Source organism: Homo sapiens, chromosome 5, assembly GCF_000001405.40.
Source record: "Homo sapiens chromosome 5, GRCh38.p14 Primary Assembly".
Taxonomy (NCBI): domain Eukaryota; kingdom Metazoa; phylum Chordata; class Mammalia; order Primates; family Hominidae; genus Homo; species Homo sapiens.
Window position 1 is genome coordinate 174,043,671 of NC_000005.10, and position 23,814 is coordinate 174,067,484.

Consider the following 23,814-nt stretch of genomic DNA (forward strand, 5'->3'; position numbering starts at 1 on the left):
TGGCATGATCTCAGCTCACTGCAACCTGTGCCTCACAGGTTCAAGTGATTCTCCTGCCTCAGCCTCCCAAGTAGTTAGGATTACAGGCATGCGCCACCATGCCTGGCTAATTTTTGTATTTTTAGTAGAGACGGGATTTCACCATGTTGGTCAGGCTGGTCTCGAACTCCTGACCTTGTGATCCACCTGCCTTGGCCTCCCAAAGTGCTGGGATTACAGGCATGAGCCACTGCTCCCGGCTGCCAATTTTTAAATCAGATTTTTGTTTTTTGGCTGTTGTTTGAGTTTCTTATATATTCTGGGTATTAACCCCTGGTCAGATGCATAGTTTGCAGATATTTTCTTCCATTTTGTAGGTTGTCTCTTTAGTCTGTTAATTATTTCCTTTGCTGTGCAGAAGCTTGGCTTGAAATTATTAAAAGTGTGATTTCTATGTGTGAATCAATCACAAGACATGTCAAAAGGAATTTCTTTTTCCTCTGGAGGAAAAAGATTAAACACAAGGGTTCACAATTGACTCCACGTGGTTATCCACATTGTGTTGTCACAATGATTGCACCTGAAAACTCATCTAGGTCTTTGGAAAGAAGAGAATGGAGGACTAACATTTACTGGGACACTCCCATATTATGTATCTGCCTACTTCTATTAATATAGCCCTGTGCAGCTCAGATGTGCTAGCTTTTGTTGTCTCAGAAAATGTCTCTCTCTCTGTCTCTCCACACACGTGTCCCCCCCCCCCACACGTTTCATTACTGAACAATATATATAATACTTACGTTTTCTCCTGACCTTTTAGCTAGCAGAGTGTATGCTCAGCACATGAGCACTAACTAGGGTGACCTAACAATTTATCACATAAACTAGAATACTTTTGAAAGCAAAAGGGGACCCTATGACAAATGCCAAGACAGCTGGGCCTCATGAAGTGCATCATAAGCAGCACTGCAGCTGGGAATGAACAACCATCAGTGACTTGAACCACAGCTTGGTGAAGACAGTGGCAACAGCCTTGACCTCAGAGGATTTGAAGAGAATCTGTGAGCAATCCCCGGGGATGAAATAATGCAGCCATTCAGAACCTTGTCCCTGAGCAGTAAGGGGTTTCCTTGAGCACAATCTCTTCTCATATTTACAATCGCTCTCCTGAGCAATAAGGGGTTTCCTTGAGCACAATCTCTTCTCATATTTACAATCGCTCTGCAAGAGAGATATTATTATTCTTACGCCAGAGAAAAGGAAATGGAGGTTTAAAGAATAAATGCAAAATGTCCAAAATCCATACAGCCAGAATTTGGTAGAGCAGACACTAGGACTTTGCCCTGTCTGATTCCAGGCACCAACTTGGAAGCCATGCAATGTCCTGGGCTGGATACAAATTTTGGTGGCCACCGATCAGGGTTCAAATTCCAGCTCTGGTTACCGTGGCTGCCCTGTATGATCACAGTGCAATGTTGAGTGTAGTAGCTCATGTGAATACAGTGCTTGCCATAGTCCCTGCTCTGTACTACATGCATTCCCTATGCTATCCCATTTCATGCTTTGTACTAACCCCATCATGTGTGTACTATTAGAAACACCATTTTGCAAATGAGGGAGATAGTCTGAAAGAGGCTGGAAAAGTGCCCACTGCATGAAAGATACACAATAAATATATTTCCCTTCTGTCCTGACCACAGGGTCAGAGCACAGTAGAGGTCTTGAACCATTCTGTGTTTTATGATATTGTTCTGGAAGGTCTTAGGAGGCAATGCCCTCTCCTAATGAATGTGCCTGCTTTTCCAGTTTTTCCAAAGGCTCAAGGATTACTTGTTATATGGTGCATATTAATTATTTTTTTGGTGTGGCCAAAATCCTTCCCACTTTCTTGAAACCATTTTGTCCCGTGCAGTGGTTGTGGCCATGCATAAGAAACAGCAGGTGGTGCCAGATGACAGATGGTGTGGGAGCGCGTTCCCCGGTAGGAGGGGGCGCGAGCGAGCAAGCAGGCAGGCAGCTGCCAGGAGCTCTTCCCTGCTCGCTCACGCCTGCTCTCAGAAGCTCCGATCCAGACACACGCGAGGCGCTGTCCTTTCAGCACCACAAGCTCGGGCTGAGGAGGGAGGACTCCTGGCCGTCCTCCTCCTCTTCAAATTGGCTTGAATCTGCTCTGACCCCCCACGAGTGCAGCACAGTAAGTAGGCATTTGTTTTTGCTATAACCACTCCCCAATATCCTCCAACCCCTTTCACCCCCACAACAACCCTGTTTTGTCTAAACGTTCCATCAGCAGGATTGAGAGAAGAAATTCAGTTGTGTTGAGCTTCTGGGGGTGGGAGGGGAGCACCATTTGACTTCTAAGGGATCTGGAGATGAATAAATGTGATTTGTTTATTTAGTTGGCAATCCTGCAATATGGGGGCTGCTAACTTTCCATGGAACCAAAAAAAAAAAAAAATGGCCCTTCGCTATTGAGGAAATGGAGGCATTCCATGGCTGAATAACAGGATCAGGTTCAAGCTAGCCTTTTTTTTGTTTGTTTTTATTTTAGGAAATTGCACCTCATGTACAATCCACATATGATGTAACAGGGTACACATTGAGACGTTGAATGTATTTATTGTGTTTTAGGGTATTGCTGATGGAAAACCAACATAATAGAATAGCAACCAGAGTGGTGAGGTGAAATTTATCATACTGCAGGCGGGGGGGGTGGTATAATAGGACTTCATTTTGCACTAAGTATAATCTTTTTACTGGCATTGTGTGAGCACTTTAGCTCTAGTGTCTTGGGTATTTGTTTTACACTTATATTTTTTGTGTGTATAGGTTTAGGATTTTCCTTGAATTCCTTAAATTTGAGTGCTGTTGAACCCCATGGGAAGGTGGCATATTTTGATGATTAAAGAAGTTTTGTTGGACAATGGGAATCATGTCTGGAAATCTAGTGGAAGATCAATGACTGATCACTAGATTGAAAGCCACTTGAGTGGAGCTGTTGAGGACAGTGCTATTTTCTCTGTCGTCAGCCCTCTCTTTCTGCCTCACCTCCTGCTGTAACCAGAATCCCACTGCTTGCCTTAGGTCTGGGAAGAAAGGCGTAAGGATGGTGAAGCTGAACAGTAACCCCAGCGAGAAGGGAACCAAGCCGCCTTCAGTTGAGGATGGCTTCCAGACCGTCCCTCTCATCACTCCCTTGGAGGTTAATCACTTACAGCTGCCTGCTCCAGAAAAGGTAAAGCATGTCCTCTTGCTCTCATCAGCCCCCAGGCTCCCCCCATCTCAGGAAATAAAGCAGCAAAAAATTCCACCCCCCAAATCCTTTCATTCTCTTATCTGCCAAATGTGCTCCCTTTCTTGTAAAATGTAGTTATTCCTTCCAGAGCCAAGACATCTCTTGTGTTATTTCAGATTTATGGTAAGTGTTTATTCATTTTTTGTTCATATCTGCATAAATGGGCAAGCAAATTGATCTTTCCTTGTTAAAGTTTTCTTACAGCTGGTGAATACTAATAAGCTTCTAGGTGGTGACAGAAAATTCATCTTGATTATTTTGGGAAGGTCTTTCAAAAATTGACAGGTATAGATTTGAGGACAGAGGATTGGATTCACTCAAACAAGCATTCAGTTTGTACCTGCTAAGGCCCTGTCCCTATACTAGGAGTTGGTTATAAAAAGACAAAATTACAAAATCCTTTTCTAGTATGACAGATTAATTCATCCTGGTAAATGTTATACCTGAGCATTACAAAGATTGTGAGGGTGCACAGGTGGAAACAACTAAATTCTATTGGGGTGGAGAAGGTTTGGGAATGGGACTGAGAAGACAGGTTAGGCAAACTGCAGAGGAGAGCATTTGAATTGGGCTTTTAAAGGTGAGTAAAAACCCTTCCTGGCAGACCATGGAGTGGGGAAGGGAAGGCATTTTTAAGGCAAAGGGCACACATATGCAAAGCATGGAGAGCTTTAGGGGAGCAGCATGACTGCAGGAGAGTGTCTTTTGGGGAGGCGTGGCTGGAAATGAGTGACTGGCTGATGGCACATCTCCTGACATGGGAGTAGTCCATGAAGAATGGAGGTGGGCATTCACACAAAGGTGGGATGGGGGTTATGGACACAGAAGGGAGAAATAGTATCATTTCAGGTCCACCTGAGACAACCTGGGGTTTTATTATGTGAGCTTTTGTACACGGTAAGGGAGAGACTTGGAGGCCAATGATGGAGTTCCCTGGCTTAAGAGCGAACAATGGATCATTCCATCTGTTTGATTTCCCATTGGCATCTGCAGGAGGGCATTGTGTGTCTTAACCAATTGGCTTCAACCAATCAACAGAAGAGGAGCCAAAGCTAGATAAAGGGGCTGCTGATTGGCCAGAGGTTGAATCATTTGTTTTGAAAGTGCAGAGATTGTCAATAGGAGAACGTGCAGGGGTGGGGTGGCAGACAGAGAGAATTCTTAAGTGCCATCCTAAGGAACTGGTAAAGCCTTTAAAGATAAATTCTGAACAGGCAACTAACACTAAAGAGATGAGAAGGGGCAATATTAATAGAGTATGTGCTACATGTATATCAGAGCTTCTTGGTTTTGAACTGCATATTAGAATCACCTGGGGAGATTTTGAAACTCCTGCTTTCTAGACCATGACCCAGAACAATTGTATCAGAGTCTCTGAGAGTGAGACCCAGGCATTAATATGAATGAAATCTCCCAGGTGGCTCCTGCATGCAGCCAAAGTTGAGGACCATTGTTTTAGGTGTGCATTAACCTGGGAGTCAGGGATTATTCATTCATATTTGTAGATGAAAATTTGGTGAGTTATCCAAGCTCACAGAAGGAGTAAGTAGAAATGTTGGAGTTTGAACCCAGATATAAGTAGAGGTTGGGTAGGAGAAGGGAGAGATATTCTCTTGGGGCTTTATGAGGCCAACAGCTATAGCCTTGCAGATCTGCATGTCTTTAAGAAGTGTGAAAAGAAAAGGGATTGTGGTGAGGTCATCTCTCCCCTAGCCTTCTACATGCCTGCAGGTCATCTAGAGATTATCATGGTCTCTGTCCCCCCTTACTCTCCCACCCACCTCCCAGGGCTTTATTCTTTCCTTGAGAGAGGAGGCAGGTCTGATAACCACTGAGTATCCAGTCCAGGTGCACCAGAAGCTGTCCCAAAGCCTGAAGGATAATGCATTGTCTCTCATAGTGGGCCTGCATGCATGCAACGTGAAGCCAATTATCCTGAAAGATCCAGGGCACCCAGTTTGACACTCTGATTGTCATCACACAGTCTTTCACCAGGGTGGCCTCAGTTTCCTGTTTTTTTGATATGGGGAGGATCACATCTACCTCACAATGGTCAGAACAAAGTTAGATGTGGCATTATACGTAAAGTGCCTGGTAAAAAAAAACCGCAAGAGGCTGGGCATGGTGGCTCATGCCTGTAATCCCAGCACTTTGGGAGGCTGAGGCGGGCGGATCACAAGGTCAGGAGATCGAGACCATCCTGGCGAACACGGTGAAACCGCGTCTCTACTAAAAATACAAAAAAATTAGCCGGGCGTGGTGGTGGGTGCCTGTAGTCCCAGCTACTTGGGAGGCTGAGGCAGGAGAATGGCGTGAACCTGGGAGGCAGAGCTTGCAGTGAGCTGAGATTGTGCCACTGCACTCCAGCCTGGGCGACAGAGCGAGACACTGTCTCAAAACAAACAAACAAACAAACAAACAAAAAAACAAACTACAAGAGAATAGCGTCACCATTTTTCAAGTGCTTCCTAAATTCTAAGCTATATGTGCACGCGCACGTGCACACACACACACACACAATCACTCACACATGTGTGCAATTTTCTTTCTTCTTCTCAGGAATTAATAGGCCCCAGTGAGGGAGTCACTACTTTGGTCTGAATTTTACAGAAGCTGAGACACAGAGTGGTAAAGTAGTTCCCCATAGCAAATAGCTGGGAAAGCATCCTGGACATAGAGCCCAGGCAGTGCTGTTCCAGAACCTTCTACCTCAGCAGGAATGAGGAGTGAGCCAGCCTGGGAGTCCCCAGGTGTGGTCTGTGGCTCAACCTCAGCCACTGACCCACAGTGCGCTCCATTCCCCTCTCTTAGGTCTGTGTTCTCTGAGTGGAAAATTGTATTATCAGTTTTCTGTGCTAATATTTAGATTTTAGAATCTTTACAAGAGTAATTACATTGTTTCCCTGACATGAGAACAGATGTGTTCAAAGTAAATTTTGCTCAAGAAGCCAAAGGTCCTCTAAATGCTTAGAATAGTGTCCAGATGACCAGCAAGGACTCTGAAGCCACCTCTTTAGGTGGGTTCAAATCCCACTCCAACTCTTACCAGCCTGCTTTGGCTAAGAACTTGGAGGGTAGTTTCTTAAGTTGCCTCAGCATCAGTCTTCTAGTGTATAGAATGGGGACGCTAATTTTGGGACTCACTCACAGGACTTTTGTAGAGGAGGCAGAGTGAGCCCTGACACAGCTGTCAGCTGTCAGCCCTTTGGTTAGGCTCCAGTCAGATGGTGAGTACTTGAAGCTAAGATGGTTATCACAAAGAAGGATATTTGACCCCAATGTCAGATCATGGCTTTTCTTTTTGAAAATGTAAAATACAGAGTATGCTTGTAATACTGAAAATCAGTATTCTAAGTATCCTTTAGTAGTATGAAATCTGAATTTCAAGAGAACAGCTTCTGGAGGCTAGCTGGAGTCCTCTCGTGGAACGTGTCTGAAGACTTGTTCCAGGCCAGGGAGGGGACTATGCAGGGCATTCAGGTTATTTCAGTTAATCTTCCCAGTAGCCTTGTGAGGTGGATCTCAGTGCACCCATTTCACTCATGAGGAAACTGAGGCTCAGGACAATATAGTGGCCTGCCTAAACTTTACAGATGAAGAGTGGAAGGGCTAGGGTTGGAACCTCAGTGTACTTGATGTTCCAACTTTTTTTTTCTGCATTGCACTGCCTTCAGTAAGAAGTCTCTCATTCTGGGAGAGTGCTTCCTCAAACTCTAGGCTTCCTCATCCATGGCTGCCCCTTGAGCCCTCCCCCTGGCAGGCTCCTGGACCTGGAAGGGACCTGGACTGGTCCCCCAGACAGAACACCAGAGGCCCCAGTGCTCTCTCCCTGCCTGGTGCTGGAGAGACTGGTGTTTGCCTCAGGGAAGAGCAGCAGGCTCCTGAGTTGCCTCCTGCCTCTTCTCCCTTTCATGCGACTCACTGCCGCCAAGCCTCCACACTGCCCCCAAGCCTCCCCAGGGCTGTGCCTTGGTCCTTCTCCCATGGAAACCTTCTGCATCTCCTCACCCCACAACATCCCATCCCTGAATCTTGACCTTGCCACTCCAGCTCTTTCACCATCTGGCCTGCGCTGGCCTCCATTCCTTTCACTCCCACGTTGCGCCTCGAATGTTAGCGTGCCAGACCTACCTGCAGCAGCGGTGCTCCATGGGGGCGATTCTCTCTCCCTGGGGGGCAGTTAGCAATGTCTGGAGACATTTTTCGATGTCACAACTAGAGGGAGGATTCTACTGGCATTTTATGGGTGGAGGCCAGGAATGGTGCTAAATATCCTATAATGTACAGGACACCCAAGTCCCCCAGTCCTGCCCCTGGGTAGAATTATCCTGCCCCAAATGTCAACAGCGCCAAGGTTGGGAAACCCTGCCCTAGAGTCTTGCATACTCCCCAGGATGTTCCATGCCTTCACCTCCATGAACATGCCATTCCTTCTGCCCAGAATGCCCTTCTGGCTCCTTTGCTTGTATGATGTCAATATTAATCTTTCTAAACCCAGTTCAGACAGCACCTCTCCTGAATGCCTTCCTTGACCACTGATAAGTATAGCTGTAGTTGTACCTATTCATTCATTCGTCGTCCATCTATCCATCCATCCACCAATCCATCCATCCATCTACCCATCCATTCATCATCCATCCATCCATCCATCCAGCAAGTCTTATAGGGTACCCTCTGTGAGCCAGGCACTGTGCTAGGCCATAGGTACACAGCAATGAAAAGACAGCATTGGCCACTGCTTTCATGGAGCTTCCAGTCCAATGAGAAAGAGAGACTTCAAACAATCCATCATACACATAAAAGCATATAGATGCAAATTGTGAGAAGGGCTATTAAGGAAAGAACAAGATGTTGTAATGTAAGGAGAGATAAGACATATAGGGGACCTAATTATAATGACAAGGTGGTCAGGCAGCAGGCCTAACTGAGCCCTCAGAAGGGTGGAGGAACGATCAGGGGGCCACATTGGCTGGTGATGTCAAATGGTGGGGAGAGACTTAAGAGATGAGGTGGGGTGGGTACCAGTTTATGTGGATTGTTTGTTTTTTTCAAAAGGTATTTAAAGCAGGAGAGTCACAGGATCAGAGTTTGATTTTGGAAGATTGCCCTCATTGCTGTGAGCCACCCTAGGGACAAGGGACAGGTTCAGTCTCATGCTTGGTCTTCTGATCTCCTCTACTTCTTTCTGTCCAATCAGTCCTCCACGCAGCACCAGATTAGTGTCCCCCAAAACAGGGGTGACTGAGTTGCCTGAAGCACCCCCGATATGGGAGTAGAAGAAAGGAATGGGAGGTCTGACACCAGTTAGAAGGCCACTACTACATTCAGGGAGGAGAGGGTAGTGGGGCAGTGGCAGTGGGGTGGGGAGGCTAGTGGTATTGAGATGTGGTACCAGGTTGATTGGGAGGAGAATTTGCTTTCTCTGCTCCATTTGCCCACTAGACCTGAGGCCCCAGCTAGACCTGAGGCTGTGTCATCTCGGTAGCCTTAGGCCTGGCCTGCAGTGGGCAGTGGAAATTACTGGCTGATCCCCTCTCTTGCCTAGCTTAAAACTGGACTCAATTTCTCTACTTGGTAGCTGAGGAAATAGACTCAAATCTAGGTGGCTTTCTCCAGGCCATGGGAGCAAGCTCCTGAAAAGCTGGAACATTAGTTTGCAGACATCAAATTTCAGGACATGCCTTTGGTGCTTTGCTGCCTTTGGTTCATCTAAGTAGCCACAATAACCCAGGTGTCCCCACAAGCCCTGTGACGTTGCTACCATAATCCCCATTTTACAGGTGCAGAAACAGGCTCAGACAGGTGGAAGGCTGTCCTAGGGTGCATCAAAGGAAAACAGTGCAGCCAAGATCTGCATGCACGTGTGCTGGGAAGGGTGGCAGGTGTGCAGAAAGCAAACCATAGACAGGCACAACCCACCTTGGCAGAGCCACAGGGGAACCATAATCGGCAAGTCTGCTGCTGCGCTCTGGGCAAACGCTTCTTTTCTTTCTATTGATTATTAAGTCTTTATGCATCTTGGAGGAGGTCACTTACCTGCTTGTGGGAGGAGAGGAACACAGATATTTAGAAACTAATGACTAATGTATGGCATGCTTTAAATTTTGCACAGTAGGCCACATGCACTTCATAGTCCTAGAGACCTGGGTTCAAATCTCAGCTAAGCTATTTACTTACTGTGTAGCTTTAGGCACATTGCTTAGCATCTCTGGGCTTTGAGTTTGTTCAGCCCTAAAACAGGCAATAATATCTACCTCAGAGGGTGCTGATGAGGGAAACAGTGTGACAGTTGTCTAATGGGCCCAGCTCAGTGCAAGGCATACTGAGGGAGAGCACAGATAGGGTTTCCTTTCTTTCACTGGGCATCCAGAATATGTCTCTTGAAGATGATAGGTTTAGAAGGAGACTGCAGAATTGGAGCATGCTGAGAAGGATGGGGTTTCACAGGTGGGTGTGGGGCGGGGTGGGGCCTGATGATGCTCTGCAGGGGAGGCCTGAAAGGGGACCTATGGCTGTCACTGAGGCCTGTGTGCCTTCTGGGCCTCTCCCTGGGCTTTCCGCAGTGTTTCTTTTTCTCTCCGAGACACAGGATATGAGAAACATAGGCTTTCCCCAGGGAACAACAGAAATGCACATCACTGCAGGCTCCAGGCCCTAGAGCCCCCTGGTTCTTCAGAGAATCTCAAGAGATGAATTGTAAATCATCTCAAATTGGGACAACATCTCTGATTAGGCAGATCCAGCAAATAGCTAATGATCAATAAATGTAGCAAAAATACCTTATAATTTAAAAACACAATCTTAAACAAAATATACTTTTTTACCTACCAAATTGGCACAAAAAAATGGATATTTCCTCATGTTGACAATACTGGGGCAAACTTGTCCTCAGTTTGCTCTTGTTGGTTATGTAATGTGATGCAGTGTTTTTCAGAGGGTATTTTGACATTGTCTGTACAATGTAAACTGTGGGTAGCATTTGACTGGTATGCTTTTCACTGGTAGGAAGTTACCCTATGGGTATATATTTCAAGTATGCAAAGGCCACTATATATTGAAAAGAACTGGGAACAACTTGGACTATTCCCTGAGAAGGGCCTGGTTAACTGAGCTCTGGCACACGCATGTGGAATCCTAAGCAGAGGTTTTGAGAATGAGGCTGATCTGCATGCGCCAGCGTGGAAAGCTATAACAGACACACTGCTTCATCCAAACAGCTTTAAAGAGAATGGTGTGGAGTGATCCCATTTGGGGAAACACACATAGTGTGAGCATGTTTTATTCTTGTAATTCATAAGACAGTTTTGGAAGGACACACAGAAAACTGTTAAATGTTAGGGAAATGGGAATTGGGGTAGGTGCGTTCCATTTGAAGAATTTTATTCTATACTTTTTATCTTTTTTTGTTTTTAACCATAAGAATGCGTCGAATTTTATTCATCTGTTTTTAGAGACAAGGTCTCTCTCTGTCGTCCTGAAGCTGGAGTGTAGTGGTGTGATTGTACATAGCTCCCTGCAGTCGCGAACTCTTGGGCTCAAGCAATCCTCCTGCCTCAGTCCCCTAAGTAACTGGGACTACAGGCACATGCTACCACACCCAGGCTGATTTTTAAAGACTTTTAATAGACGGGGCCTTGTTGCCCAGGCTAGTCTCAAACTTCTGGCCTCAACTGATCCTTCTGCCTTGGCCTTCCAAAGTGCTGGGATTACAGATGTAAGCCACTACACCTGGCCTCAGATTTTCTATTAAAAAAAAATCACCCCCATTTCACAGACAGTGAATGGTCTCAGGGAATGGATGTAACTTGTTCACTTTGACACACAGGGAGATCACTGTGAAGCCAGTGTCTCTCTGTACAGGGAGGTGTCAGAATAGCACAGTTTAAATTCAAATCCTAACTCCACCTACTTGCACTGTGACCCTGGGTGAGTTTATTAACCACTTTGACCCTCTGTTTCCTCATGACACTAGTATCTTTCTCTAAGGATTGTTGTAAAGATAAAATGAGGAAAATACATAGCAAATGTTTATCATAGTGTCTAGTACGTAGTAGATGCTTAATGCAACGGAGTAATTATTATTGCTGTTGTTCTTAACATGATCTATTTAGTCCCAGAAACAGGTTCCCTGTTTCCGGAGGTCACAGGGCTACCCCAGGCAGCAAGGAGAGGTGAACAGTGACATGGTCTGGGCCTCTGGACTGTGGAAGACCCAGGTGGCAGAGCTATGGGCTCCACTGTAATGATTCCAGCCTAGGCAGCTTGCCTCTGTTCAGAGCAGAAGGAGCTGGAAGTCCCCCGTAGAGGATCCTGTGGAGAGCACCTCATCTTGCCCCATGCTATGCATTGCCATAGAAGTGGGGAGTTGGCTGGGCATGGTGGCTCATGCCTGTAATCCCAGCACTTTGGGAAGCCGAGGTGGGCGGATCACGAGGTCAGGAGATCCAGACCATCCTGGCTAACACGGTGAAACCCCATCTCTACTAAAAAAAAAATGTAAAAAATTAGCTGGGCGTGGTGGCAGGTGCCTATAGTCCCAGCTACTCGGGAGGCTGAGGCAGGAGAATGGTGTGAACCCAGGAGGTGGAGCTTGCAGTGAGCCAAGATATCACGCCACCGCACTCCAGCCTGGGCGACAGAGCGAGACTCTGTCTCAAAAAAATAAAAATAAAAATAAAAAAGTAAGTGGGGAGTTATAGATTTATTGAGGCAGATAGTTCATTTGAGACCAACTTTTATATTGCCTCTGAGAAAGCAAAGCAAAGGCCCAGCAAGAAAGACAAAGTTTATTCCATGGAAAGAGCTCCAGACTGAGAGTTGGCATTCATACTAGAGACCTGCTTCCGACTCAGTCTTACTGTGTGACCTGTGGCAAATCCCTTTCCCGCTCTATGCCTCAGTCTCCCTATTTGTGAATTGATGAGGTTGGACAACACTGCCACTAAAGTCTTTTGAGCACTGACATTTTACCCTGTGTTCACGGCCCAATACCAACCTTCAAGGCCCAGGAAAAAACTTGAATCCAAAGAGGGAGTGTGGAGTGAGGAGCGAGAGGTGCAAATGGGGAAGTTCCCAACTAAGGATGCAGGCCCCATCTGGGCAACTTCACCCTCTCTCTTTAGAAATAGGATTTATTTGTTCACTGATTCATTCCACAGTTTTTATGGCCTCCCTATTGTGTCTTGGTTCCCCAGGATCAGAGTTCAAGTGTTAGGTGGCACTTGGAACTGAGCTTAGGTTCAAGTCTGGGCTCTGCCTCCTAGTGGCCATGTGAAGTTATGAAGTCATTTCTGCTCTCTGGGACTCAGGCTCCTTATCTGTAAAATGGGAATAATTACCTTTACCTCATAGAATGATTGAAAAGATTTGCTGAGATACAGGATGTAAAGTGTTTGGCACAGTGCCAGGCACATAGTGGGTACCTTTACAAAAAACCCAAAACCATGATCAATAGGAAAGAGTATGGTATTCTTGAGTTTGAATGTAGCTCAACCCGAGGCCAGTCATTTGATCACAGGCAAGCGACTGAACTCTCAGAGGCTAAATTTCCTCACCTGAAAAATGGGAATAATCATAATGATTTTGAAGGAGAGAACTGAGGCTTGGAGAGAATGTTGTCAGGAGAATTATGAGAATTGAATGAGTCCACATCAGCAGGGCACCTGGCACCGTGCCTGGCTCACAGTAGGGATTCAGTGCCAGCCATTTATTGTCCTGGCTCTGAACCTGTCTCTTTGCTCCAGGGATGATGGGTATAGCTTAGATCTATTTTTGGACTGTGCAAGTCCAGCTCATAAAAATACAATCTTGCTCCTTGTCAGCACTTCTGCACTTGTATTTATTGTTCCTGCCAATCCTGGGACCTCTCCATGTGGGAACGTCTTCATTATTGATAATCCTGGGAAGTAGTATTTTAAATTTTTATGATCTGTACTTTGCACTGTCTGAACCACCATGTATTATCTGGCCTTGCCAGTGACACGGGAATTATATCCAGACAAGGGGTCCTTTAGGGATGAATAATTTATCCCATTTTCACAATGCCAATTATATTAAATTATGTTCTTCATATTAGCAGCTGACAGGACAATGGGGATCCAATGTGTAAATATGGAAAGAAAACAAAGTTATTTCTTTGCCCAAATCCACAGTCATATTTGAAAACCTGGAGTTTCATTTTTCCAAATATCCATAAAACCCCACTTTTAAGAATAAAAAGAGTAGGAGAAATTTTGCCCCTCCCCTCTCTACTTTTCTTCTCTCATTTCTGCTGATAGACAAGGCGCTCAGGGCTCTGTTTTGCTCCATTTTCTTTTAACTGCGGGAAAAAGAAGAATGTCTAGAAGAGAGGCTTTCTTTGCAAATTTATTTTTCTCCTGTCTTGTTCTCTTTGCCTATGCGAGCTGATTCCTCCAAGGTACAATTAATAACGATTGGCTAACATTTCTTAATGCTTTCCCTTTCAGAGTACTAAAAAAAAGGAACTGTGACTTTATCGTTTATGGAAGGGAAATGTTTCTGGCTCTACTCCACAGGAACAAAACACTAAGCTTTATGAAAGTCCTCTAGCTGGCTGGTTGTAGTGACTTTGTAGGGTTGTATTTTCCCTGCTCTCTGCCGGTCCCCATGCAGTGTACCTTCACTGTGGCCAGAGGCCTCTCCTGTGCCTGAAATGCATACCTGCAAAGCCGTTTTCTCATTTATAATCATTCCTCAGCTCTTCACTGCCCTCACATTAATCTTCAAGGTGCCTAGCATGGCATTCAGAGCCTCTGTGTGCCTCTCTAGCTTCCTCCCTGTCACCTACTCACCTCACCCATCCTGTTCCCTGGCCACTTAAAACTGCTTCTCTGTAGTTGCCTCAGGTGCTGGCCTCCCGGATGTCTTCTGAAGGTTTGCTGGTATTGTCTCTCCCTCGATCTAGAGGGATCTTTCCCCTGGGTTTGGAAACAAGGAAGCTGGCCAGGGCAAAGGTCCAAAGAGAGATGACCATGTCCTATATTGGGGTAGAGGCCGTGCAACTGGATGAGTGGGTTGATTTAAGGGAAATTTTTGAGGAAGCTGGAGCTGGAATGGGTGGAATAATGGAATGAATTTTGAGACTAAAGGGAAGGGAGGAATCATGAGAGATTCTGTGTTTGATTTGACATAAACAGTAGTTTGGATAATGCTGCTGTTATCTTCTAAGTTGGGGATTACATGGCATGAAGATGTTGAGAGTGAGGTGGCTGGGGCAGGAGGGTCAAGGGTGAATGTTCAGTAGGGTCATCTGAGTGTTGAGTGATATCTGAGTGGAAGTAAATATTTGGGAGTCATGAGGATAAACAATGAACTTGATTAGCCAGGTGTGGTGGCACATGCCTGTAGTCCAAACTACTCAGGAGGCTGAGACAGGAGAATTTCTTGAACCCAAAAGGTAGAGGTTGCAGTGAGCTGAGATCATGCCACTGCACTCCAGCCTGGGCAAAAGAGCGAGACTCTGTAAAAAACAAACAAACAAAGAAACAAAAAAACCAATGAACTTGGAAGTGATGGGAGTGAGAACATGCAGAGGGGGCTTGTAGATGGAAAGAAGAGTGGTCATGAGCTGGCTTTGAGAAATCCCAACACTGAGAGATCAGAAAGAGGAGGAGCCTGGAGTGGAGACGGAGGAGGGCTGCTGGGTGAGCCAGCAACAGAACCAAGAGAGAGGCTGCCATGGGCCCAAGGGAGGAGAACCTTTCAAGGAGGAGAGAGAGAACAAGCTTGTCAAAAATGACTGAGAGGTCAAAGAAGATGAAGGCAGAGCACTGTCCATTTGTTCCAGGCAAACAGGCCAAGACCTTTTGAAATGGAGATGGAGTTCCAAAGAGCTAACACTTCCTCGGGGTGAAGACAAAATATTGTGTAGCAGCCTGAGTTGCTTTTGGAGAAAATGTGGCTTAGCTAAAGAAAACAGCAGATGACTGAGGACCCACATGGTATCAGGCACCTGCCTGTCTCTTGGCCTGTATTTGAACTTTGTGGTTTGAGGAGTGAGGACCTGAAGCTAAAGGGACTATTTTCATTAGAAAGTCACTCAAAGCCTAAGTAGCATTTCATAAGGGTTCAGAGCAAAGCAGGACATGGATTTGAAGAGAGGGTTATGGTCCCAACTCTGCCTAATTTCAGTACCCTCTAACCCCATGACTGCAAATGGTGAGTGGCATATTTTTATGATAAACATATTATACATATAAATTATTATATGTATACTTGAAGTTGATGTAAATGACATCACGCAGTATATAAAAACCTCTTGGTATCTAATTTCTTTTGTTCAATGTAATGTCTATGAAATTCATCAATGTATATGTAGTATAGCGGTGAGGCATTCCATTTTCTGAGTAAACCACAATTTATCCATTCTCCTATTAGTGTACATTTGAGATGTTCCCAGTTTGGGGCTATCAGGAACAAAGCTGCTATGAATGTTCTTGTATCTTTTGGTGGACCCATTATGTTTTTGAGCTGACTTTTTGCTGACACCTAGGAAATCTATTGATTTTGGTTTACTTATTTAGTATTTGGCTACCTTACTAAATTCTAATCACTTTTCAGTTCATTTTCTTGGGTTTTCTTGGAAGACATGTGTATCAGATAGAAAGCTTTTAGTTTCAAGTAACAGAAAACCCAGCCAAAATTATATTAAGGCTCAAAGAGTAGGTATTTGCCCCTATAACTGTGGATCCCAGAGTAGGTCTAACTTCAGGCAAGGTGCAATCCCGGGGTAGGATGTCATCTGGACCCAGCTCCATTTCTCTGGGTTCCTCTTGGCTCTGCCCTTCTTTGTGTGCTGCCTTGTTCTTCTCCTGGTTCCCATCAAGATGGCAACAATTCCAGGACTAAAGTCTTCAGCATACCATCCAGAGGAAGAATCACTCATGAAGACCTACAAGGCTTCTTTCATCAAGACACTAGTCAATACTACCTCATAGCTCATTGGTCCAAATTGGGTAACATGCCCATGTCTGAGTCAATCAAATTGTGTGATCAATAGGATGGTATGCCCTGATTGGCTCAACTTCACTAGGGACCATCACTGTCACTAAGGAAGTGGTCAATCCCACTGAACCACATGGCTGCCACACAGTGAGGCAGGGGTGGGTTCCCAAAAGGAATATCATAGCGCTTTTGGTTGAAGAAGGAGATGGATGCTAGAGAAGCAACCTCAAAATATTTATTATTATGAGAATAAAAATGATATTGCCTGTAATGATTATTCATGGTCTTGTTCTGACAGTAATATTTTTCAGTTCTGTCTCCTGTCTCAACATGTTGGTTAGAATATGGGGTCTTTTAAGTTTACAGAGAATGGAAACGGTTTTCAGATTTTTCAAAAGCTCTGGGAAGGATGTTTATAAAAATAGAGAGGGAGCGAGAAAGACTAAGAAGCAAGTACTTCTTAATATTTTTTTTTTTTAAATTTACTAGTCTCTGAGTTTGCATCCAACATTTGATGTGAGGATTCTCAAGAACAGTTGGAGGACTGTGGATCTAGAAAGGAAGGGATCAAGCCAAGAGATGATGGAAATAGACTTGGCAATGTGGGAAGGTGGACTAGTTTTCAATTGCTGTGTGACAAATTACCAAAAATTAAGTGGCTTAAAACCCATAAACTTATTATCTCACAGTTTTCGTAGGTCAGAAGTCCAGCCATAGGCTAGCTGGGTTCTCTGCACCAGGGTCTCATGAGCCCGAAATCAAGGTGTTGGCCAGGCTGCATTCCCACTGACACTTGAGATCTTCTTTCAAGCTCATTGAGGCTGTCGACAGATTTCAGTTCCTTGTGGTTGGAGGACTGAGGTCCTGGTTTTCTTGTTGGCTCTTGGTTGAGGGTTGCCCTCAGGTACTAGCTGCATGGCTGTCTTTCAGCATGTCAGTTTAATTCTTCAAGGTCAGTGGAGAATCTCTTTCCAGTCTGTTACCCTGGAGTTTTACATAGCACAATGTAATCATGGGAGGGACTAGCCCATCATAACCACAGGTCCAGCCCACATCCTAAAGGGAGGAAATTATACAGCACATGAACACCATGGGGCAGGAATCTTTGGAGCCAAATTAGAATGCTGCCTACCCCAAAAAGCAATTATTACCCCAAGGCTTGTGGCTCATGCTGACCAAGAAATACATATATTATATATATTAATAGATATGTTACATGTATATATTACACACACACACACATATATACATACACACATGCATGGGGAGATAAAATTAAAATTGTAAATCCAAGTTTGTGAATATTTCTAAAATCGTGGATTAAGAGAAATAATCAGACATCTAAATTTTCTGTACCACTTCATAATCTGACAGTTGATCTAGTGATGTCCAAAATATTTCTAATAACTGGAATTTGTAGAATATCCTTTTAGTTCACAAAGCACCTGCATGTATGTTCTTTCATTTGGTCCATCCCAGAATGCTGTGAACTAGCCTAGGAGCTTTACCATTTGCTCTTTTGTTTACATCAGCTTCCGACTCTCGTATTCGCATTGCAGTTCACATGCCAGCAAAGCAAGTTCTTGTAGATCACATGCTATTTCACACTTTTGTTTCTTTGGCTCTGTGGTACACTTTGCAGAGACTGTCTTCCCTTGTTTTGTCCACCCAGGAAACTTCTATTCATCTTCCAAAACTCTTTTTTTTCTTTTTTTGAGACAGAGTGTTGCTCTGTCGCCAGGCTGGAGTGCAGTGGCACAATCTTGGCTCACTGCAACCTCTACCTCCCGGGTTCAAGTGATTCTCCTGCCTCAGCCTCCTGAGTAGCTGGGATTACAGGTGTGCGCCACCATGCCCAGCTAATTTTTTTAATTTTTAGTAAATATGGGGTTTCACCATGTTGGCCAGGGTGGTCTTGATCTCTTGACCCCATGATCCACCCGCCTCAGCCTCCCAAAGGGCTGGGATTACAGGCGGGAGCCACTGTGCCGAGCCCCCAAACTTTTTTTTTTTTTTTTTTTTTTAGGCAGGGAAGTTGGGGGCATTCTTGAATGCCCATGTTCCTGAGAAGTCCTTGTGTTGCTCTTGATAGGCTAGGTAGGGTGACACTGCAGCCTGACAGGTGCAAGGCTCCACTCTACAGCTGCCTCAGTATCTATGGAAGAAAATGTGATAGCACCCAGATGTTATTGGATTAATGTTCTGAATGTCTAACTTGCATCAACTCATTTATGCCTCCCAACAATCCAACGAGGTGGTCATGGTGATTTCCCCATTTTATAGATGAGAAAATCAAGACACAGAAGGCATCATCAACTCACCCAAGGTCACCAGCTAGTAAGTTCTGGAGCCAGGATTTGAACTCAGCCCACACTTGTACACTCCCCTACAATATTGACAATATTGGTATCTGCTTTATAGTGTAGAATTAAGTGAGGTAAGGCATGCCAAATGCTCAATGCCTGCTATATAGTAAATGCACAAAGTATGAGAATTATTTTTCTTATCTGTGGTACAAGAGCTTCTGTTTTCCTATTCTTTGGCCTAGTGGGTAGGAAGAAAATAAAAATAACAGAGCATCCTTCTGCCCCCACCCCCTGTAAGCTCTCATCCATGTTTGGCTGTGTTGCTTCCCTGTTTGAGGAAGCCAGGGGCTCTCTTTTTGTTGTTTGGAGGAACAGATTGCAAAGAGGGCAGGAAACAACAGCAGAATTTCCATCCAGAAATGGGTTCTAGAGGTAAGAGAGGGTGGGGTGCTGATGGGCTGGGGTCCAGGGCCTCCTTAACCCCCATAAGTCCAGCCATAGGTTAGTTGGGTTTAGGTACCACCTGGTAGATGTTCCGTGTATGGTAGCGCCGTCCCTATCCCTTCCTTTTTGAGCTGCATTGAGTCCATGACATGCCTCACAGATGTTAAAGGACATTCTTCATAGAAGAATTCTTGCTCTAGTTAATACGCTTGACTGTTGTCTCCAGGGAAGGTTGGTGGGCGTTTTCAGTGAAAATTCTGTTAATTTGAGCCATAATGGGAAGTAGGAGTGATCATGGTTAGAAGATTACTTCATTTTAGCTGTGTGACCCTGGACAAGTGACTTAGCATCTCTGAGCTTGAGTTTCCTTGTTAGGAGAATGGAAATAGTAGTGATAGGTAGGTGAGGCATATGAAGTGCTTGATCTAGTTCTGGCATATAATAAGTGGTTCAAAAATATTGCTCATTATCATCTCACTTAACTCTCAAAGCAACCTTACAAAATAGGGATATGAATTAGAATTATTTGTCTCTATTTTACAGATGAGACCCTGAGGCTTAGACAGCTTCTGTGTTCCTCATGGCACTGCAGCACTTGGCAATAGTTATTGATTATCTGTCAGGTTTCTTTTTCTTTCACTTTGCCTGCACAGTGGGATGGAGTTACATAAATGTCTTGTCAGGTTGACAGCATATCTTGATAAGATGTTAACCACCTCTGCAAAAATATTCAGACTTTAGAAAAATAAGATGATACAACAGATTCAACAGAACTTTCTATTTTTCTTCTCACAAGTCCCCAAATCAAATTGGAATTAAGTGTGTGTGCAAAGGCTTAGAAACAGAATCTTCATCATAACTTTCTATTTTATTTTATTTTATTTTATTTTATTTTATTTTATTTTATTTTATTTATTTACATATTTATTTATTTAATTTTTGTGGGTACATGGTATATATATTTTTGGGGTACAGGAGATATTTTGATACAGGCATGCAATGTGAAGCACATCATGGAGAATGGGGTATTTATCCCCTCCATCCCCTCCATTTATCCTTTGAGTTACAAACAATCCCATAACTTGTTTATATAACCAAAACTGGAGGCAACCTAAACGTGTAACAATTAAAGTTTAATTAGATCAGTTGCAGTACACACATGCAGTGAAATGTTATACTATGCCAAAAGGCAAAATACAATGATATATTTGTTTACATTGGAAAATTGGAGAAAAATATAGTGTTGTGTGATAAAAGCAGGTTATAAACTATAAAGTATGAATTCATCTCATAAAATATATATTTTCACAAATAGTAAATATATAACAATATGTACATATATAAGTCTATATAAATATCTAAAAAGGTATAATCAAAGTTGTTACCTAGGGTTGTCTCTGTTGGAATGGGGAAGTATTATGAGTAACTTGAATTTTCTCTTACGTGTGTTTGAAGGGGGGTTCTTTATTTTTTTGATCTTTATGTCATGTGTAATAAATTCTGGTTACTGAAAAAAAAGAAAGGAAAATGTTTCAAGTCTCCATGCATGCTAACACACTGGTTGACTCTTTCAGGTGATTGTGAAGACAAGAACGGAATATCAGCCGGAACAGAAGAACAAAGGGAAGTTCCGGGTGCCGAAAATCGCTGAATTTACGGTCAGTTTCTTGATGGTGTAATAGAAAGAGTAAAGGAGAGGCTGGCTCCAGCCAGCTCAGCACACCTCGTGCTTGGAGCAAGTACTGCTGTGGGTGGGGAAATGATGCAGGCTATTTCTGGAGGATTTCTTGAAGCCATACAGTCTGGCCACTGAGTTTAATCAAATAACAAGAACTCTGCCTCTGAGGTCTATCATATTCTCGTGTACTCTGGAATGTTCTGATAAATCTCATAATTGATAAATGCCTCTTCTATTCCTTCTCCTTTCTCCTGTTCCCTTCTTCCTGCTTTTTCATCACAATCTCCAGGAAATGTGATGGAAATGCAGTAAGTGACTCACATTTTAGTCCTTCGTTGCAACAAATATGAGAAAAACAAAGGTGGGGGGAAGAAAAGCTGGCTTCTTGGTGGTGAAACCCTAATGGTTGGCTTCCTATTTCTTGGTGGAGGGGCCGCGAGGAGCACTGGAGAATATGTTGCTAGCTGTGATGAATTGCATCAAGGATCCACAAAGCATTCTCTGTGAGGGTGAAAGAGGAATCCCAGGGAATGCCCCGAGGAAGTCACTTAGGAGCTGAGGTGGGTGGGGAAGTGGGTATGAAGCAGGTACAAGGTGCTTGCAGCTGAGGAGAGTGCAGCTTGTGCAAAGGCCCTGAGGCAGGAAGGAGGCTAGCCCCAACCCTGAATAGAAACAGAAATAGAAACCCTGAATAGAAATAAGGACAGTGAGGGCCGGGCACGGCGGCTCACGCCTGTAATCCCAGCACTTTGGGAGGCTGAGTCGGATGGATCACGAGGTCAGGAGATCGAGACCATCCTGGCTAACACGGTGAAACCCCACCTCTACTAAAAATACAAAAAATTAGCTGGGCGTAGTGGCGGGCGCCTGTAATCCCATCTACTCGGGAGGCTGAGGCAGGAGAATGGAGTGAACCAGGGAGGCAGAGCTTGCAGTGAGCCAAGATCGCACCACTGCACTCCAGCCTGGATGACAGAGCAAGACTCCGTCTCAAAAAAAAAAAAAGAAATAAGGACAGTGAGGCCGGGCTCTAGGAGGGTGCAGGGAGCAGACACAGATGAGGCAGAAGTGGGCGGAGGGCAGACAGTTCCAAGCATTGAAGGCTGTATGAAGGCATTTAGGGTTTAATACTAAAAGCAACAGGAAGCCTTTGAAGGACTTCAGGAAGAGAAGGGACATGATTACATTTGGGTTTTAGAAAAAGTATGCTGGCTTTTACATGGCTAATGGAGTGTGGTGGATGAAAGGGGATGGAGGGGCACTATTAGGCTACTGCAGTCATTCAAGTGAAAAAACACACAAAAAACGGTGGCAGATCAGATAAGGGTGGCCAGTGGGTGGAGAGATGCAGGCAGATCTAAAATATTTAGGAGGCAAACAATCAGCCCTGGAGGCAGTAGAACAAGTGGTCCTGTGGATGGATGATGCAGCAGCCTGGCTGGGCTTGAGCCTTGGTTCCACCTTATCCTAGCTGTGTGGCCACAAGCGAGTCACTAAGCCTCACTTATCAAATGGAGATAATAGTAGGGTTGCTATGACGATGAAGTACAAAGTACCTGCAAAGCACTTGGATCTGTATAAGTGCGCAATAGTAGCCTTTTTATGTCAACTGTGACTGGGAGCTTTGAAAGTGAACATGACTCGTGGTTGGTTATCTGGGAATTGAAGCGTATGCGGGGAGAAACATGTGGGTTTGTTTGTCTTTGACTATTTTTCTCCCCACTAAATCAATACTGAAGCAGCTGCGTATGTGGCCCAGGGGAGGAGTGTGGTCCCTCTGTGTGCATTCCCTGGAATGTGGAACTTCCTAGATGCCACCCTCCTCTTGGAGAGCAGTGGCTGGTCTTACTTTTTTATTGTACTTTCAGTGTCTGCCACACAGCACAGGCCCAGTGAAAGTGGACCAAGACCCAGCTGCGTACAAGTACTTGCAGGAATAAGCAGGTACCTGCATGAATGAGCACAGAGCTTGCAGGAGAGGCCTGGGGTATCTTGGTGCACCAGGCCACGGGGTCAAATTTACCTGCCTTCCTGGCAAGAGATCACAAGAAATATTCCCAGGTTCACATGTAAGAATGTTTGCTGCAGTACTATCTATAAAATTAAAGTATTGGAAACTAGACTTTCAACAACTTTCTTGTGATTTCATAAATGAGAACACATCCATATGATGAACTACTTTACAGTTTCTTAAGAATTACCTTTTTTCCCTCAGAGAGTAGTTTTCTCTAAATTATATGTATATGAGATACTTTCATCTAATTTTTACTTCTCTATGCTTTCCAAATTTTATGCAATGTGCACTTAATTATTTCAATAATCAGACAAAAATGAGAATTATTTTTAAGTGTGCTTTTTTAAAAAAAAACAGAGTGTTAGGCATTTTTAATGAAATTATCCTTTATCCAGCAGTCATTTGAAATGATGGCTGTGTCACGAGGTCAGGAGATCGAGACCGTCCCGGCTAAAACGGTGAAACCCCGTCTCTACTAAAAATACAAAAAATTAGCCGGGCGTAGTGGCGGGCGCCTGTAGTCCCAGCTACTTGGGAGGCTGAGGCAGGAGAATGGCGTGAACCCGGGAGGCGGAGCTTGCAGTGAGCCGAGATCCCGCCACTGCACTCCAGCCTGGGCGACAGAGCGAGACTCTGTCTCAAAAAAAAAAAAAAAAAAAAAAAAAAAGAAATGATGGCTGTGAAGTGCAATAATTTGGGCAAATACTTAAAGAGAGAATGTTGAGTGAGTAAAATAGAGATTAAGATTGTATGCTTTCTAGGATTGGAGCTATGAAAAATTACAAATAAATGTATTAATATTAAAATGCTGTCTATGGCTGTGTTATTAGCAGTGATATAGGGCTATATATTTTTTTTGTCTTCTTTGACAACTTTTGGTGATGTGGCTACTTTTTCATATCTATGTGAGAGATTGATATAATCCCCTATGGCTCCGAGAGGTGACATAACATGCTGACCCACCAGCAAGTGGCAGAGCCAGGGCCTGGCGGCCTCTCTGCTCAGCCATGATGCCTGCAGTAGGTAACTGCTGGGTAGAACAGAAATGAGTCAGCTAAGAGAAAAAGGGTGCTGGGTCAGGGACCAGGGCCTGTAGAAGTTCTCCACCCCCGCGCAGTTTGACTCAATTAGTCTT

At 44.3% G+C, this 23,814-nt stretch overlaps 1 protein-coding gene across 1 annotated transcript in view; it reads left to right on the forward strand.

The window, feature by feature from the left end:
- The first annotated feature begins 2,035 nt into the window (after window positions 1-2,035).
- The window catches only part of NSG2 (neuronal vesicle trafficking associated 2), a 63,474-nt gene continuing 41,695 nt past the window's right edge, over window positions 2,036-23,814 (forward strand). Inside the window, exons 1-3 of the mRNA NM_015980.5 lie at window positions 2,036-2,173; window positions 3,064-3,214; window positions 20,562-20,645. Of these exons, the coding sequence (NP_057064.1) occupies window positions 3,086-3,214; window positions 20,562-20,645 (213 nt within the window). The 5' untranslated portion in view covers window positions 2,036-2,173; window positions 3,064-3,085. The remainder of the gene's footprint in view (window positions 2,174-3,063; window positions 3,215-20,561; window positions 20,646-23,814) is intronic.